Genomic DNA, 15,914 nt, shown 5'->3' with positions numbered 1-15,914 from the left:
TTCTCTGACAGAAGGGAGATAGTAGCAATGGCCCTGAGTTTAGGGACTGCTATGGGAATGACATCAGATGACAATGAGAAAATGCCCAGCCCATGCTTAGCATAGGGCCCAGGCTGTCAGGACTGACACTGATGCAGCTCCTGCTGCTGGGTCCCCGCGGTCACTCAGCACAGCCCTCTGCCTCCCAGTTGCCAGTGACTATCAAGAGCCTCAAAAAGGACGGTCCCTTTTGATCCAGTAACTCCACAGCTGGAAATCTGTCCCCAGGAAACTCTAGGTGGACCAAAGTCCTTATAGACAGATGTTTACTTTGGATGTTTTTTAAACAAGTAAAAATACCAGAGCACAAATCTGAATGTCTGACAGTGAATTCTAAACGCATTACACTGTGTTCATGTCTTGGAATATTATAATCATTAAAAGTTACTCTTTTAAGACTGACATGAAGAAATGCCCATAAAATATTAGTAAGTGGAGAAATAGCACCAAAGCATACATACAGCATCAACTGCACCTGCATTTTTTCCTTTTTTTTTTTTTTTTTGAGATGGAGTCTCACTGTGTCATCCAGGCTGGAGCAGTGATACGATCTTGGCTCACTGCAACCTCTGCCTCCTGGGTTTAAGTGACTCTCCTGCCTCAGCCTCCTGAGTAGCTGGGATTACAGGAGACCGCCACCACATCTGGCTAATTTTTGTATTTTTAATAGAGATGGGGTTTTGCCATGTTGGCCAGGCTGCTCTCAAACTCCCGACCTCCGGTAATCCGCCCGTGTTGGCCTTCCAAAGTGCTGGGATTACAGGCATGAGCCACCATGCCCAGCCTCAACTGCATTTTTTTAAAGGATAGAAAAAGAGCCTGGGTGTGGTGGCTCACGCCTGTAATCCCAGCACTTTGGGAGGTCAAGACAGCTGGATCACCTGAGGTCAGGAGTTCGAGACCAGCCTGGCCAACATGGTGAAACCCCATCTCTACTAAAAATCTAAAATTAGGCAGGTGTGGTGGCACATGCCTGTAGTCCCAGTTACTTAGGAGGCTGACACCGGAGAATCACTTGAACCCGGGAGGTGGAGGTTGCAGTGAGCCAAGATTGTGCCATTGCACTCCAGCCTGGGGAAAAAGAGCGAAACTCTGTCTCAAAAAAAAAAAAAAAAAGAAAAAAAGAAAAAAGAAATGTAAGAAAATACATGAAAATGCACACACTGGTTTTCTCTGGTCACCAGGGAGTTCTGTTATCATATTTTACTTCCTTCCTTTTACCTTTCTGTGTTTTTTTTTTTTTTGAGACGGAGTCTCGCTCTGTCGCCCAGGCTGGAGTGCAGTGGTGTGATCTCGGCTCACTGCAAGCACCGCCTCCCGGGCTCATGCCATTCTCCTGCCTCAGCCCCCTGAGTAGCTGGGACTACAGGCGCCCGCCACCACGCCCGGCTAATTTTTTGTATTTTTAGTAGAGACGGGGTTTTACCGTGTTAGCCAGGATGGTCTCGATCTCCTGACCTTGTGATCCTCCCGTCTCAGCCTCCCAAAGTGCTGGGATTACAGGTGTGAGCCACCGCGCCTGAACCCTTTCTGTGTTTCCTAAACGTGATAGTGCACATGACTCCTGCGGCTGACAGCGCCAACAGAACGTCACGCGTATATGCGGCGTCCATGCGTCTGCCACATCGGGGCCAGTGCAGGGTGCCCACATGGCATGGCATGCCTCTCCAGTCTTCGTGGTTGATGCTCATTTTATCTGAATTGCAGAGGCAGTAGGATATGAGAGTTCACGTGGTGGAGAATGGACCTTGCACCAGGGCAGCCCAAGGCAGGGAGGACAAAGCTGGCCGGGAGGCATCTGACCACAGGCTGCCCCTCCAGGCAGTGGGGGTCCACACCACCATTTGCCTCAATTAATAAAACCCAGGAGGCTTCCATGGGGCGCTCCCAGCCTTCCTTAGAAAGGAGCCATGTGAGGTGCAAACATGGAGACCCAGGGGTCTCGACTTCAGCCCCTCATGATGACAAGGGGCGGGGGCTTTTCTAGGCTCCTCAGGGGCCTTTAAAGAGCTTCCAGGACAGTCCTAGCTGCACATTCTCCCCGGAACCCAGCACAGACAACTGGACTCCATGCTTTCCTCGCCCAGACCAGTAGCCTGTGCCTCATAGGTACTGAATGTCCGATGAGCAGGACAGCAGGACTCTGCATCTGGCCCTTCCACTGAAGACATCCCACCTGTCCTCCAAGACCTAGCCCCAGACAGATAGCACCTCCCTGGGAGCTGGTCTCTACCTTGGGGATATGACAATTTATGTTGATATGCTCTAAGCTTTGATGAGAAAGACCAGATTAATCCCACTGCTCAAAGTGGCTTGAAATAACGCCAACATAGCCCACAGGAACAATGGTAATAGATGTGGCGTGCACTCAGGTTCCAGGCTCCAGGCCAAATGCTGTTCCAGGTAGTCTCCCCATAAGTCCTCCCTCTCACCAGTTCAGCGGGGAGCACCATCATTCCCACTTTCCTGCCATGCGAGGCCAAGGCACTCATGAAGCCCATGCAGCCCGTTCAGCAGAGGCAGGATTCGGACGCCAGGAGTGTGACCCCAAGGCCAGAGCACCTGAAAGTGCCACCTCTCCCTTCTGTGGTCTCTGTTTGTGAAGTCGAATCCCCTTTGCTGGACTTCAGGAAGGTCCTGGACTGGGCGGAAATCGATCTTCCCATGGAACAGATGGGGAACCAAGGGAAAAGGGGGTCTCAGTGATGTTTCCTGCACCCACCCGGGATGTGTTCCATAAATCCCAGACTGGGGAGAAACAGGTCTGAGCTCCCAGGCTGGTCCCAGGACCAGCAGCTCAGTGCCCTGTGGAGCTCATTAGGAATGCAGGTTCCTAGGTCTCACCTAAGACTTAACAACTCTGGGGTGGGGCCGCCAACCACGCCTGATATGTTCTGCAGTTGGAGAACAGGGCGTCTCCCAGCCCACAGGCAATTGGGGATCCACCTCTGGAGAAGGGTGGTGGAGCATTATTTTTGTGCCTGCACGAGGGCAGGCAGCCTGGACAGATCTCTCCCAGATGAGGGCGAGGGGAGCCTCTGGCACAGCCACTAGCAGGGGCCCTCTGGGCATCTGCAGCTCCCCCGCATCTCCCAGCGGGAGACGGAGGCAGAGACTGGCTGGTCTCTCCCGCCTGGTGGTGCTTCAGAACCAGCAGCAGCTCACCAGGGCCCTCTGAATCTCAGACTCTGAGTTTTAAAGGGTTTCCATACAGCCGTTTTTTAAAAAAATCCTTCATTTTCATTTGCTTAGTATGAGCTTGTATGGCGTTAATTTCCCTAGTGTTGTTTAAATAAATTGCACATATTTGCTACTATTTTAAAGCTGTGAGACAAATGTAATAACAAAATCTGGTGAAAATCAGTGCCAGACCTGTGCGGGCTTCTGCCTGGAAGATGCGCCCGCTTCCCTGGAAGAAAATGTCAACCACAATTAGCACTCACCCTGGTCGAACAAGCATGTTCTTTTGAACACGCAGTCATCTTGGGCCCATTCAGAAGACATCACATAAACACTGATGCATAATTATACTCACTGAAAATAATGCTTCCAGTTACACTTAAAAATATTTTCTAACAGATGACACCTGCTGATTTTCCCTGGTGCCTGTTTTTCTTCTGTATTTCGGAGTGAATGAAGACTGAGCATTGGGTAATGACTTAAGGGTGACCTCTACTACACCATTACCAGAAACTAGATAGTACACATGCGCACATGTGTATACAGGCGCTATGCACACATGTATGCATGCATGTACGCACATGCACATATAGATATATATGAATGCACACGTCAAATATGCACAGATGTATGGGTGTATGACTACATGTACACACATGCACAAATGCACATGTATGAATACATGTGTGTTTATGCATTCTACACATGCACAGGTACGCATTGCTTATGTGTGTTTGTGTGTCTGTGTGTGTGTGTATAGAGCACATCACAACTTTCTCAAAACCAACAGCCCAGCAGCAAGATATCTTGGCCGTACCCACTCCCCGCATCCTGACAGTTTAGCTCAAGCTAGAAGTCCTGTAACTAGCAGCGTCCAGGAGGGTCCTGGTGGCTGAGCTGGTCTTTGGGGTCCAACCAAGCTCGTGCCTGCAGATCTGCAGAATCAGGAGCTCCAAGGCAGCCGCCCACTGTCGCCTCCATCCACTCACGGACACCTGGGAAGATGCATGAGGGGGCAGCTTCCCGGAGCTGCTGCAGCCTGCAGGATGGCTCCCCAGGGATGTTTCATGGAGCCGTCCTTGACAGGATGAGACCTGGGCTGTGGTCCTACTTTTATCTCCCATGAGTGTTTCTGGGCCTGGAAACTGGCCCTGTGGCCAGGGCCCTGCCCAGGGCTGCAGTGTCCCATACCCCACAGTTCCCCTCCTGTGCTCCCTCCTCTTCCCTGTGCCTTTGACTCTGCCCTGCTTCAGCCCCACTGGGCTCCCTGATGCACTCTCAGCTCCCTCAAAGCCCTGCCTATAGGACAGTGGGCAGGAGCGGCCCAAAGCGCCCACTCTGGCCTCCAGCCTATAGGGTTTTAGCTCACCCGCCAGGTGCTGGGGACCAGACCTCCACCTCCACCGCCCAAGGCCCTGCTCCTGCCCCTCTCTCTGCCTGGGCGCCTCATCCTCATGCCAGGCTCAATCTACAGCGCCTCACCTGGCAGGCCACACTCCACACGGCAGGGAACACCTGCTCTGGTGCCACCCCGGACCTGCTACTGCCCCGGGGGCTGTGCATCTTTTCCTAGTCCCACACGTTAGGGAGGTACCACAGCCCCGGTGGGGGCAGCAGGGCCCTGATAGCCACTCACTTTCTATGGAGCAAACTCAGTGGACAGACTTAAGCCACTGCATCCACACAAAGTTACTGATGCCACCCTTGAGCCAGGAGACGACAAAGCAAATGGCCCTCAGCCTGTCTCCTGCATGCTCATGTGGGGGCGGGGTGCAGCCATGACCTCAGGGACACCTTCCTGAGTCCTGCACGGGCCCGGGCCCTGCCCAAGTGACTTCCCAGACACAGTCTCATTTAGTCCTCAGGGCAGCACACAGAGGACATCAAGCTCAAGGGATGAAGCCCCGCTCAAGCTTGGAAGGCCAGGACTGGAGCCCAAGCTGTCTGACCTGTGGCCCACCATCTTGATGGGCCCATCCCACCACTTCCCACAGGGCCCACGATTGGTGCAGAGTCAGAATCAGGCAGGAGGTTCAAACTGGCACCAAGTCGCACACAATCAGTCCACTGGGGACTTGGGGACAGAAATACTCATGGTGGGTATTATATCTCGGTCAGGGCACTGAAGGGTGAATAGGACTTTGCCAGGCAGGACGGGCCAGGAAGGGGGCACAGACAGTGGCACAGGACAGTGTGGATGCCTCAGAAACCAGGCAGACACCACCATTATTTGGGGCCTGGAAGGAAAGCAGGGTGGGGGCGTCACAGGCTCCGAGGTTAACAGAGCTGCGTGGAGCATGGCTTTTCTCTCCACTGCTCAAGTCAGGATTTATTTCATCCCCGATCTCAGTCCCTCATCTGTGAAAGGGGGATGATCAGGAAGCCCCCCTGCCAGGTGTGGGGTGAATGTGGTACTGTCTAGGGAGCATTGACAGACATGGGGACCTTCAGCCCTGCTGTCGGAAGAAACCTGAGAAGGGGCAGAGCTGGGGGTGGAGCTCCTAAAAGCTGGGCAGGACTTCCAGAGGGCAGAGAAGGAGAGGGCAAGACTCCTGCAGCCTGGAGGCTGGGCCAAGGGGGGCCTAGGATGAGCTCTGAGTGTTCAGGGGCTAGGGCTGGGGGGCAGGCGAACTCGGGGTGTCCCACAACCCTTATATTCCAGGAAGGGAAACTGAGGCCCAGGCCAGTGGAAGAATTTGTCCAAATTGCCTGGCTAGGGAGAGCTGGGGCCAAGTGGCGAGGGAGACTGAGGGTGGGGTAGGGAGGGGAGGGTCAGGGACTGCTCTGGTGAGGGCACCGTGAGCAAAGTGGGCTCCTGGACCCAGACCGAGGGGCCTGCCAGGGAGGGAGGTGTGGGCCCAGGCTCCTTCCTGGGTGGCCTAGTGGGGTCCTAGAGAACCCAGGGCTGGGCCCAGCATCCGCGGTCCCTCTACCCTACCCATACTTTCCTCCTGGGAGCCAATCCCAGAGGCGCGGGGGTGGGCCTAAGGGTCCAGCTGGCCAATCAGAGTCCGGCATTCCACCTGGCCAGGTGACTGCTCCAGGGAAGGCAGGTGACCCCAGCAAGTGACTTTCCCGGGGCTGCTGGAAGGGGTGGGCTCTCCTCCCTGGATGAGGGTTTGAGATGGGAGGGTGGGAGCCCTGCCAGTCCCCTTGCCCCCACAGGCACCTGGGGCTTTGGGCCTGGCCTCCAGGCCGCCCAGGTCAGCCCCTGCCTTCCCCTTCCTGACTCCTGGCCCCGGTCTTGCTGTTCCTGAAATGTGCCACGCCCAGGCTGGTCCCTACCAGGACAGGCTCCTCAGAGTCTGTTCACACTCGGCCTCCTTGGCCTGGACAGCAACCTGGAGACACCGTCCTCCTCCTCCTCCTCCTCTTCCCTGCTCTCCTTACGCCCTAAGGCTGCTCTGCTGCAGCTGAGCTGAGAGCCCGGCCTGTCTGTTTGCAGATGACATCTGTGAGCCCCACAACTGTGGCTTCGTGGCTTCAGCTACCTTTCCTGGGACAGACCCCAGGGTGAGTCCCTGGCCTCAGTATCATGTACAGCCATTGACTGGCTGGGGATGGTGGTCCATCGGTCGAACAGAGCCCAGGGGTGGGGAGATTCTGCAGTCTGGGGCATCATCAGAGCCTGGAGCAGTGTGCCCCAGATGCCTGGTAAATGGTGTCACCACTCCCGCCTCTTACTTACACGAGGCTGTGGGAGGTCCATCCTCGGGACCCCTCCGAGCCCTGAGCGGCCAGGAGTGGCAGCAGATGAACTTGTCTAGGGGCCCAGTTTCCAAGGTCAGAGCCTACCTGCCCAGTGCTGAGCAGGGACAGGGCCATTTCCTCAGGGGGCAGATGAAGGGTGTGGGGGCCTGAGGCTCCCAGGGATGTGTCTACAAGGTGCAGGTGACTCTAAACCTGCCTGCTTCTTAATCAGCTTTTATTTACAAAGTGCTTCTCATTTCAGATCGCCTCTCCCCATTAAGCCCTAATCAACTGTGCTTCCTATGGAATGCATTCTGCTGATCCTACTGTAAGATGGTGATTTACGGAGGCGGCAGCAGCAGAAGCCTCCAGGCACGGGTCCTAGTGCTGGGCCCTGCGACCTGCATGAGGCTTCCCTGCTGATGGAAGGGGCTGGTGAGCTCTGTGCTCCGGAGCTACGTGGATGCCTGGGATGTGGGCAGCAGTGGGGATAGGAGTGATGTTAGAAGCCGAAGGCTGGGGCGCCTTGGGGAGCGGAAGCTTCACTTTACATCTGGGGAGGAAGGTGCTGCAAAACTGCCACTGATGGGGCGGATGCACGACAAAGCCCCATGCATAAGTGGAGCTTGGCTTTTTAGAGATAAAATGACAGCCTGGGCTCCAGTGGGCTGCTCGGGGGGCCCTGCGCGGAAGGTGTGTTCACTCTCCACCCATGGCTCGAGGGGTCTGGGTGGTCTCATGGTCTTTCTGGATGAACTCTTCTCCAGCCCCGGGTCTCTCTGTACAGGCTTCCTGGACCAATCTCAAATACAGGCATCCTCTCTCTTCCCAGGGATACAGTCACCAATCCCTCACATTCAAGAATACATAAATTGTGATTCAGGGGAAGTGATGAGAGGTAAATGAGCTTAAGAGACAAAAGGAAGGCACACAGACAAAGACAACTTCCGTTCGACTGGAAGTCGGTGGCCCCGGGGTTCACGGGCAAGGTGCATGTTGAGAAAACCACACTAGCCCCCAAGTCCACACCTGCACCCTGCGGCGGCCTGTGCTCTCCCCAGGGCCGGATTCTGCCCTGCCGGCTTCTTGGGGCCACAATATTTTATTTTCTTAAGCTCCTGGCAGCCCTGCTCCCCGCCTGGGTCTTGCTCTCCTGTCTGTGTGATGAGGCTGTAACTGGCTGTGGCTGCAAGGTGAGGTCTCCAGGGACAGCTCAGTATCAGCAAAACTCGGATCATTTCCCTCCCCTCATCACTCGCAAGCGAGAGACAAAGAATGCAAAACTGACCTGGGGCAGGCTTTACATGATCGTCTTTTTCTGTTTTTTTGAAAAAGAAAAAAACAGTGTTAAGGAAAGAATATAATCATATGCACCTCCCAAGCTACATGCGAAAAGTTATCATTTGTTATATTTTTTATTCTCGAATCCACGCATCTGTTAGGAGCCGGGAATTATGAAGAGCCAAGGAGGAACCCTGGCTTTTAAGTGAAGGGAATGCTAAAACACTCAGAGGTGAAGCCACATGGGGGAGGGCAGCCACCAAGACCCGGCTTCCATGCAGAAACTCCCAGAGTGCCTTCCATGGAAGACGAGGGGTCTTTCCCCACAATCGTGGTCTGGCCGGGGCATGGGAGCTGGTTCACAGGTGAATGGTGATCAACTATTGTAACATTTCCTTGTGGTAGAGATGCAGATAGCAGGTCCCACTCCAGACCCTCTGGACACATTGCATGAGGCTCTCTGCAGGGTGGACGAGCTCCCTGGGAATCCTGAACTGAGCACCGGCTCCGCAGTGCCGTAGCCATTGCGTGAAAATGCCTCCCAGAGGCACAGATGCCAGAGCAGTCCTCTTGAATAGATGGGCTGAGATGGGGTGGACCTGATCAAAACCCCAGCGTGGTGCAGATGGAAGAGGGGAACAGGGCCTGGGTTCCCTGAGCATGGGTTATTAGTTGTGGGGGGCCATCTGATGCTCCTGCCAAGTTCAGTGAGGAAGAGCGAGCATCCCTTGTCCTAGTCGAAGTCATTACCCTCAAGAGATGGCAAAAACATGGAAATTGCTTCAAATTCCCTGACACCAGATCCGTGGTATATTTCTAAGGGAAGCCGGCAGCCCCGACCTTTGGCGATAGGTCACAGATGGCGGTGGTGGCATCCCTCACTTGTCATCCCGCCCAGCGGCCAGGTCCTGCACTGATCCTGCTGGACATGTCCTTAGCATCTGAAGTGCCCCACAGTGTTGAGAAAATGGCATGGCACAAGTCCACCTGATTCCACAAAAGCATCTATGGGAATGTTTTCAAATCAGTTTCTGCTGGGACATGACCTCTGGTCACCGTACTGGCTGTTGCCATGGTCAAGGTGCTCTGTGTCAGCTTGTTGGGGTGCACCTGTCCCCCTCCTGGAAAGGTGTAACTGCTGGCTCTCATTACCCAAGAAAGTGGCTCTTTGGGGAGGTCCCCATGCCACTGGATTTCTCTGATAGGCAGCATAGCCCTGTGAACCCGCAATGCTGAGAGACAAGGCTTCTGTAGCTGCAGAGCCTGGGGGTCCGATTTGTATAAGCAGATAAACTAGACCCAGTGTCAAGGAACGGTGAGAGGACACAGAGGGGATTGTGCTTCTTCACTTCCCTGATTTTGCTGCCTCTCCTTGTCTTCCAGGCTGGACAGAGTGCAGTGGGAGCCATTCCACCAAGGAAGAGAAGAATATTTGCAACAGCCCCGAGCTGGGAATTCTGCTGGATCTGCTCCACACACCCCTGTGAGCCATGTGGGGAAAACAGAGCCCTCCTTTTCTGTGAAGATAAAAATAGAGGTGGCAAATGTCTCCAGAAGTGGAAATGTGGGTGAACAGTGGGTATTGAAGATGGTTTTTGGTGTGAATGAGAAAGTTAATCATCATGAGAGAATTCAGCTCAGAGAGCAGAACTTTTTTACATACCAGATGCTGGCCAGTCCCGCTGTGTGGTCACGTCAGGCATAAGATGCATCTAACTTGTGGATTTCATTCTGTTTCCAACATGCCTCGTGACTGTGTAGAATGGTGATGGGCACAGAACAGATCTCGGAGGTGTCACTAGAGAGTGCCTACGAAACGGTCTTACTCTGACTTGGGGAAGTCCACCACCTGCAGACTGGATGGCCCAGGGAAACAGCGCAGGGGAGCTCCTGCCTCCTGGCCTATCCCCACAGCAGAGCCAGGTGGGCCCTGGGGTGGCCTTGAGGCTGGACTGGCTGCAAAGGCAAAGCATTGCAGCTTTTCCTTGCGCCCAGCCCTCTAACCTGGTCCTGCTGTGCGGAGCTGCCTGCCGTGCGGCGCTGCCTGCTGTGCGGAGCTGCCTGCTGTGCGGAGCTGTCGGCATGGCTTATGAGGATGCTCCATGCACTGGAGCTTCCTGTGAGAGGAAAGGTGCTCTGTCTGGGGATGCAGGGAGAAGAGCACTCTCAGGATGGAAGGTTCTGGGAGCTCTGAAACCCTATGTAGGTCCCGGAGCCCTGCTGAGGCCACGGCGTCTTCTGCGCGTTATTCACTAACAAAATCCGCGCTCACCCCTCTGTGCACTGCAGTCCCAGCCACCCAGCACCTCTGTCCCCAAAGCCACCGGCCTTTGACTTTGTCTAGCCTCAGGCTCCCGGGTGTTGGCAGCTTCTCCTGTGGCAGTGACCACGGACCCATGGCACCACCTCATAGTGCATTTTCGGCTCCTGTTTTGCTGAACGTTCTAATGTTTGGGTAAATATGTGGCTGACCCCAGCCACACACACACCACGTCTTAGAGTCTAGTGCTCCAAGACTATCGATTGCATAGGAGTCTGCCGTGGAAATGAAACATCTGGGGAAGGACCGGCCATGCCTGCATTATGAACGTACATTGCTCTGTTGGAACAGGGAGGATACGATTTCTTCCCCAAATATCAATTCTATTTATGGCTCTTTTCAATCTCTCTGATTCGCAGTCTTCCTGTTCTCATTGCTTCCTTATAGCTTTGGGTTAAACATGCTTCAAAAGGAAATTATGTGAGCCCCCCTCCCCTAAATGTCAAACCTAGTACGGATATTTACTGAGGATGATTAGATTTCTTTTAAAAAAGGGGGTGCCCTAAATCCTACACAGAGTTCATTCCTCTACCTCCTATTTCCTTTTCGGTGTACCTTTGAGAAAGGGTCCATTTTGCTTCCCCGAAAACATGTATATTTAAAATATTTAACTAGGATATTGTCTGCAGCCTTCTAGCTGGTTTCCATGGTAGCTAAGGATGGACGGAATAAAATGGTATTCAACAAACACACACTAAAACAACAGAACAATATCTACATTCTTTCACAAATAGAACATGTGAGCCATTGTAAGTCAGCATTTGCATGAGTTTCATTCCGAAAAGGCACTTAGTGGATTTTTTTCTTACATCAATGACACCAGTAGGGGCCAAACCCACTCTCCCTGCCCCACGAGCACCACCGAATTTCTTACTTCTGATCTCTCATAAAAAGGCGACATCATTTTGAAAATTCCCATAGAAATAATACAAGGAAAGGTTTCCTGAACACAGTCGGGCAGTTATTTCTTCACTGTGTCCATTTGGAAGGAAAGCCTCAGCAGGGAGGCTCATGGCTTGCTGCCATGGTGTCGGTGCACCGAGGTCTGGGCTCAGTGCCCCCAGGATGGAGTAGGGGCGGGAAGCCAGCACCTTCATTTTTACCCAGGGAGGTTGCACGACCTGCCCAGCGTCATGCTGCTGTCCTCTGGAGGCCAGTTGGAACTCAGGCCATGGCCCCTGGAGCCTGGGCTCTCAGCCCTCACCGTTCCTCCTCTCACAGGACACAGAGCATGGAGGATCACCCAGCACGCTGCAGTCCTGGGACCCCTCTCCCCGCGCACCTGTGGGCAAAGCCGGAGCCTGGGCTATGACTTCTGAGGGCCTGGGCTGTCCTGGGGGAAAGTTTAGAGTTGGTTCTTTAGGCAACTTGTAACAATTACCATCACCCCGTGGAGGGGTTTCATGTTGTTCCTAATTAGCCTCACAAACCACGTAACCACCACGTTTCTCTGGATGAAGATCTCAAAGCCACCCACCCCCTCCCCCTACCCTTCAGCCTTGCCTCCCACCAAAAGCGAAGATACAGAAGGATAAGGAATTGTGGCTGACAAGAGAGCAGGTGGCATGTGTGTTCTGATGTCAGCCTCTTTAAGGGTGTTGATAAGTATTTCTGTCTAGCAGAAGAAAGGAGGTTCCAGAATGTTCTGGTACAAAGAGATCCGGACAAGCTACCGAGCTTGTGACCTCGGTCCTGGCCGGGCTGCACCCCTGGCTTTAGACCAGGTTTCTCAACCTCGGCATTCCTAACACTTTGGGCTGAATCCTTCTTTGTTTGGGGCGTCCTGGGTTCTGTAGGATGCTGAGCAGCATGCCAGGCTGCACCCAACTCACGAGCAACCCCACTGTGGTGACAACCACAGGCGTCTCGGGTCTCGCCTAGTGCCCTGGCTGAGAACAACTTGCTCTAGAGAATCAGGAAAATTATGTTTAGTTAGAAACACCTTAAACAAAATTACCCTCCAGTTTATAGAAAAATATATTCATAGTAAAAAAAAAATTAAATTAAATTAGCAAGTTAAGGGAAAATGTATTACTTTTTCCCAGAGTCATTAGTGGTGGAACTGAATGAAATCGTTCATATTTTGTGCATTAGTGAGAAAGATGGTCGGTGCCATCAGCGTGTGTGATTCGGGAAGACGTTGGTGAGGACCGCGATAAACGCTCCATCCAGAGCCCTGGCGCCCAGACCCTCAGTGACATGTCCTCTGAAGAGTCCCCTGGGGACCTCCGGCTTCATGGATCTGTCGTCCACCATGTGGCGTTTCAGTCTCACAGACACCCCTGTTCTTGCTGGGAATCTTTCTGCCAGCTACAAAAGACTGTGTCCATGACCCCTTTCTCACTGTTTTCACAAAATCCTTCTCCAGAACCACAGAGGGTTTTATTTTTAACCAAATATTAAATGAGAGCCATGGCCTTGGAGTGAAACACAAACGTATTGGTCTGAGAAGTCTGCCTTCAGTTTTACTTTCATCACCTGCAGGAGGGCAGCACTGGCCCCTCACAACTCTGCTTGGGGGGCTCTGAACAGGCTCCCCAAAGTGTGTATATAGACGTGTGTGCGCACACATGCATGCACAAATATGCACATGCGTGCACACACATCCCATGTGCGAACGCACACATGTGCACACACATATACTCACAAGTGGGCATACACGTGCACACCCATGTGCACACCCATGCGCACATGTGCACACTCATATACATGTGTACACCCATGCACACAGGTGCACACACACACCAGCTCTAGTCGAGAGCTAACGGCCCAAGCAGAACCTGACTGTGCTAGAAGCTGAGACGCTGGAGGGCCCGTGTGCCTGCCCCGCACCACGCCTGTGCGCCCTCTCAGCTCCCAGCCTGCACAGGCCTGCAGGGGAGGCGGGCAGGTGGGCTCGTCCCCCGTCAGGAGGCCAAGTCTTGGACTGACTGGCCCAGACAGACATGGAGCTGGGGTTAGAGTGGCCACGGCTCAGGGGGACCGTCACTGTACATGGGACGCGGTGCCACGTGCAGTCCTGAGGTCATGCCCTCAGGACAACTTCACGGACCTCGTGGTCCTTATTTTGCAGACGGATCAGAGACATCCTTGGCTGGGAGGTGGGCAGAGGCAGATTCACCCCGGGGCTCTCTCTCAGTGCCCCTCTGCCCCTAACTCCTCGTGGCAATTCTGGGAAAGCCCTTGAGCCTCCGATTGCGTCAGGACAGACAGCAAATGAGTCAACCATGCAGAACGTACAGCCTATCCACAGCACCACAATACGGGCAGGGCCCAGGGCCCGAGGCAGAGCACACATCCCACAGTGGAGCACTGAGTAATTACGTTGTGACTGGGGCTGGCCTGGCTTGGCTCTTTGCATCTGCTGTTCCCTCTGTCTGGAACACTCCTCCCACGGGAATTTTTTCACGGCTGGCTTCTTCCCATACATCACCTCTCAACTTGGATGTCAACATCCTGCACCCCTGGATGAAACAGCGCCTCTACCCTCTGTCCACCTGTCCCGGGGCTTGGTACCCCTCACCTGACTCTGAATGTGCCTGCACAGCATTTGCCAAACCGCATCTGCCACATGGACACCTGGCCTGCCTGCCCCGAGAGAAGGTAAGCTCGGTGAGGGCGGGGACCACATTGCAGCGTCCTCTGTCGTGTCCCCAAGTCTTAGAGAGAGCTGCTACACAGCAGTGCCGGGACACGTGAATGCCCAGCATCACTCCTGGAGTGAACAAAGACAGTGACTTCCAGATCTTCCCAGCCCATGGGACTCCAAGGTCCTCAGAGGCATGGCTACCACTCAGGTCCAGTCCTGTGGCCATGCCTCTGGGGTAGGAGGTGACACAGAGTCTGTACCACTCGCTCCTCCCTCCACGGCTCACGTGACCAGAGCCTCCCTGCCGGCATGGCCCACTTTTATCCCTGACACCCTCCACATGGCAGCAAGAATCTTCACCAAGCCACCTTCCAGGTCACCACGGGCTCAATCCCCTTCAGATCTTCTTGGGACAGTGACCCTGGCAGTGTCTGCACTGAGGTCTGCCCTTCTCCCACCAGGATGGCCTGGGGAAAATGACCAATAACCCATCAGATTTTGCTCCCTAGGGGGCTTCCCTGCCTGGTCCTGGGGAGTCTGGGGCCGCCCCTGCAGCTGACTGCCCCTGGGGCCCTGGGCACCCCTCTATTTACAAGTGAAGGGCTGGCCCAGATGTCGTTCAAGGCTGTTTGCAGCCTGAAAACACTGGCTAAGTTTGAACTTCTCAGGCCTGAAAGAAGCAAGACCAATTCCAATAGTCACTCCCGTCCTTCGCACCCATGAAGAGTTACAAGCTGCCGTTCCTTTGGGGTGCATTGGACGGCCATGAAACCTAATACTGACGGCCCACCACCCCCGAAACTCGAGCCCCCTGGAGGGGGCTGGGGGGGGGGTCTGTGTTCTGATGTGGAGAAACACGCGTGGAGATACCAATACACGCTCTGCTGAACCCAGGGGCCATGGAATCTGCACCTGAGCAGCCAGACCTCTGCTGGTGACGGTGTCTGAACTTGCAGGAGCGTGGAGGTTATTCACACTCATTAAAATAGCTCGTCATCTTCAAAACAAAGCCAGGAGGTGGACACGTTGTCTACAAGTTTGCCAACGGCACTGTTGCTGTTTATTTATTCTAGAATTGCTGTTTTTCAGTCCCGTTGAGGGCCACCTTTTGGGAGAAGGATAAAACAAACCACCATTTTCTGGAGATGTGAGCTTCAAACTTGGACCCCCACCTCGGGACCTTCTAGTTGCTTTCCCAAGGCAGATATGCCTTCTGCAGAAACAGCTCATGTGGAGAGCCCTGGGGGACCATCCCCTCACTGCCCTGATGACCTGTAGCCCCCTTCAGTTAAAGTTCTCAAATGCTCAGGTGTCCAGGTTCAGATCAGAAACTGGCCAGCCAGCCCTGGGGAACTCACGGAGGAATGCAGTCTGTGGATGCTTCCCTGCAATGCCAGCCTCACTTACAAGGCCTCCGCTCTCAGGGTGAAGGGCAAGAAGTGATTCATATCCAGGCTTCTCCAGGAGATGGGGGGAGGGACCAGGGGATGGGGGAGGGACCCGGGGATGAGGGAGGGTCCAGGGGATGGGGTGATGGGCCAGGGGGATGGGGGGATGGGCCTGGGGGATAGGGGATATGGACCATGTGAGTAGTGGGGGACAGGCCTGTGCAGGAGAGAGTTCACCCTGGCCTAGGCCTCTCCTGAGCTCCCTGCTCCAGCCTTTGCACGTGCTCTACAGTGACACACCTGACGTTTGCTAACAGCTGCCTGTGGGCCCCACCTCCACAGCTCAGCAACCCCTCTCATTCTGTGACAGTCCCACAGCCCCCAGCATACAAATGCAGATCGGAGGCAAGGAGAAGCCGAGCCCCTG

The 15,914-nt window shown here is 54.1% G+C and overlaps 1 protein-coding gene across 5 annotated transcripts in view, besides 7 other annotated features; it reads right to left on the bottom strand.

Annotated features, from left to right (window-relative positions):
* CDH4 (cadherin 4) overlaps positions 1–15,914 on the bottom strand; it is a 688,357-nt gene that overhangs the window by 168,452 nt on the left and 503,991 nt on the right. The window lies entirely within an intron of this gene.
* Positions 99–393: an enhancer, noted in NCBI's record as "tiled region #10002; HepG2 Activating DNase matched - State 4:PromP". NCBI's record gives its function as "activates a minimal TATA promoter and a strong SV40 promoter by Sharpr-MPRA in HepG2 cells {active_cell/tissue: HepG2}" and the evidence as "EXISTENCE:reporter gene assay evidence [ECO:0000049][PMID:27701403]".
* Positions 99–393: a silencer, noted in NCBI's record as "tiled region #10002; K562 Repressive non-DNase unmatched - State 21:Repr". NCBI's record gives its function as "weakly represses a minimal TATA promoter and a strong SV40 promoter by Sharpr-MPRA in K562 cells {active_cell/tissue: K562}" and the evidence as "EXISTENCE:reporter gene assay evidence [ECO:0000049][PMID:27701403]".
* Positions 2,539–3,039: an enhancer, noted in NCBI's record as "H3K4me1 hESC enhancer chr20:60344183-60344683 (GRCh37/hg19 assembly coordinates)". NCBI's record gives its function as "activates a minimal SCP1, AML or CMV promoter by ChIP-STARR-seq in naive H9 embryonic stem cells {active_cell/tissue: H9 hESC(naive)}" and the evidence as "EXISTENCE:reporter gene assay evidence [ECO:0000049][PMID:30033119]".
* Positions 4,406–4,906: an enhancer, noted in NCBI's record as "H3K4me1 hESC enhancer chr20:60342316-60342816 (GRCh37/hg19 assembly coordinates)". NCBI's record gives its function as "activates a minimal SCP1, AML or CMV promoter by ChIP-STARR-seq in naive H9 embryonic stem cells {active_cell/tissue: H9 hESC(naive)}" and the evidence as "EXISTENCE:reporter gene assay evidence [ECO:0000049][PMID:30033119]".
* Positions 5,662–6,235: an enhancer, noted in NCBI's record as "H3K4me1 hESC enhancer chr20:60340987-60341560 (GRCh37/hg19 assembly coordinates)". NCBI's record gives its function as "activates a minimal SCP1, AML or CMV promoter by ChIP-STARR-seq in primed H9 embryonic stem cells {active_cell/tissue: H9 hESC(primed)}" and the evidence as "EXISTENCE:reporter gene assay evidence [ECO:0000049][PMID:30033119]".
* Positions 14,153–14,653: an enhancer, noted in NCBI's record as "H3K4me1 hESC enhancer chr20:60332569-60333069 (GRCh37/hg19 assembly coordinates)". NCBI's record gives its function as "activates a minimal SCP1, AML or CMV promoter by ChIP-STARR-seq in naive H9 embryonic stem cells {active_cell/tissue: H9 hESC(naive)}" and the evidence as "EXISTENCE:reporter gene assay evidence [ECO:0000049][PMID:30033119]".
* Positions 14,654–15,154: an enhancer, noted in NCBI's record as "H3K4me1 hESC enhancer chr20:60332068-60332568 (GRCh37/hg19 assembly coordinates)". NCBI's record gives its function as "activates a minimal SCP1, AML or CMV promoter by ChIP-STARR-seq in primed H9 embryonic stem cells {active_cell/tissue: H9 hESC(primed)}" and the evidence as "EXISTENCE:reporter gene assay evidence [ECO:0000049][PMID:30033119]".

Source organism: Homo sapiens, chromosome 20 (genome assembly GCF_000001405.40).
Source record: "Homo sapiens chromosome 20, GRCh38.p14 Primary Assembly".
Taxonomy (NCBI): domain Eukaryota; kingdom Metazoa; phylum Chordata; class Mammalia; order Primates; family Hominidae; genus Homo; species Homo sapiens.
Note: the sequence above shows the minus strand (reverse complement) of the source record. Positions and strands in the feature narration are given on the sequence as shown.